Consider the following 2,096-nt stretch of genomic DNA (forward strand, 5'->3'; position numbering starts at 1 on the left):
GCTGCTCAGCAATATCCACTGTTCTGCACCCTCTGCTGCTGATACCCAGGCAAACAGGGTCTGGAGTGTACCTCCAGCAAACTCCAACAGACCTGCAACTGAGGGTCATGACTGTTAGAAGGAAAACTAACAAACAGAAAGAACATCCACACCAAAACCCCATCTGTACATCACCATTATCAAAGACCAAAGGTAGATAAAACCACAAAGATGGGGAAAAAACAGAGTAGAAAAACTGGAAACTCTAAAAATCAGAGTGCCTCTCCTCCTCCAAAGGAATGCAGCACCTCACCAGCAATGGAACAAAGCTGTACGGAGAATGACATTGACGAGTTGAGAGAAGAAGGCTTCAGACGATCAAACTACTCTGAGCTAAAGGAGGAAGTTTGAACCCATGGCAAAGAAGTTAAAAACCTTGAAAAAAAATTAGATGAATGGCTAACTAGAATCACCAATGCACAGAAGTCCTTAAAGGACCTGATGGAGCTGAAAACCAAGACACAAGCACAAGCCTCAGTAGCCGATTCAATCAACTGGAAGAAAGAGTATCAGTGATGGAAGATCAAATCAATGAAATGAAGCAAGAAGAGAAGTTTAGAGAACAAAGAATAAAAAGAAATGAACAAAGCCTCCAAGAAATATGGGACTATGTGAAAAGACCAAATCTACGTCTGATTGGTGTACCTGAAAGTGACAGGGAGCATGGAACCAAGTTGGGAAACACTCTTCAGGATATTATCCAGGAGAACTTCCCCAATCTAGCATCGTGGCCAACATTCAAATTCAGGAAATATGGTGAACACCACAAAGATACTTCTTGAGAAGAGCAACTCCAAGACACATAATTGTCAGATTCAACATATTTGAAATGAAGAAAAAAATGTTAAGGGCAGCCAGAGAGAAAGGTCGGGTTACCCACAAAGGGAAGCCCATCAGACTAACAGCTTATCTCTCAGCAGAAACTCTACAAGCCAGAAGAGAGTGGGGGCCAATATTCAACATTCTTAAAGAATTTTCAACCCAGAATTTCATATCCAGCCAAACTAAGCTTCATAAGTGAAGGAGAAATAAAATCCTTTACAGACAAGCAAATGCTGAGAGATTTTGTCACCACCAGGCCTGCTCTAAAAGAAAAGTTTTAGAAGGAAGCACTGGAATTTCATGTCCAGCCAAACTAAGCTTCATAAGTGAAAGGGAAATAAAATCCTTTACAGACAAGCAAATGCTGAGAGATTTTGTCACCACCAGGCCTGCCCTAAAAGAAAAGTTCCTGAAGGAAGCACTAAACATGGAAAGGAACAACCGGTACCAGCCACTGCAAAAACATGCCAAATTTTAAAGACCATCAAGACTAGGAAGAAACTGCATCAACCAATGAGCAAAATAACCAGCTAACATCATAATGACAGGATCAAATTCACATATAACAATATTAACTTTAAATGTAAATGGGCTAAATGCCCCAGTTGAAAGACACAGACTGGCAAATTGGATAAAGAGTCAAGACCCATCAGTGTGCTGTATTCAGGAAACCCATCTCATGTGCAGAGACACACATAGGCTCAAAATAAAAGGATGGAGGAAGATCTACCAGGCAAATGGAAAACAAAAAATGCAGGGGTTGCATATCCTAGTCTGATAAAACAGACATCAAACCAACAAAGATCAAAAGAGACAAAGAAGGCCATTAAATAACGGTAAAGGGATCAATTCAACAAGAAGAGCTAACTATCCTAAATATATATGCACCCAATACAGGAGTACCCAGATTCATAAAGCAAGTCCTTAGAGACCGACAAAGAGGCTTAGACTCCCACACAATAATAATGGGAGACTTTAACACCCCACTGTCAACATTAGACAGATCAACAAGAGAGAAAGTTAACAAGGATATCCAGGAATTGAACTCAGCTCTGCACCAAGCGGACCTAATAGACATGTACAGAACTCTCCACCCCAAATCAACAGAATATACATTCTTCTCAGCACCACACTGCACTTATCCTCCAAAATTGACCACATAGTTGGAAGTAAAGAACTCCTCGGCAAATGTAAAAGAACAGAAATTATAACAAACTGCCTCTCAGACCACAATG

The sequence above is a fragment of the Homo sapiens genome, chromosome 21 (assembly GCF_000001405.40).
Source record: "Homo sapiens chromosome 21, GRCh38.p14 Primary Assembly".
NCBI lineage: Eukaryota > Metazoa > Chordata > Mammalia > Primates > Hominidae > Homo > Homo sapiens.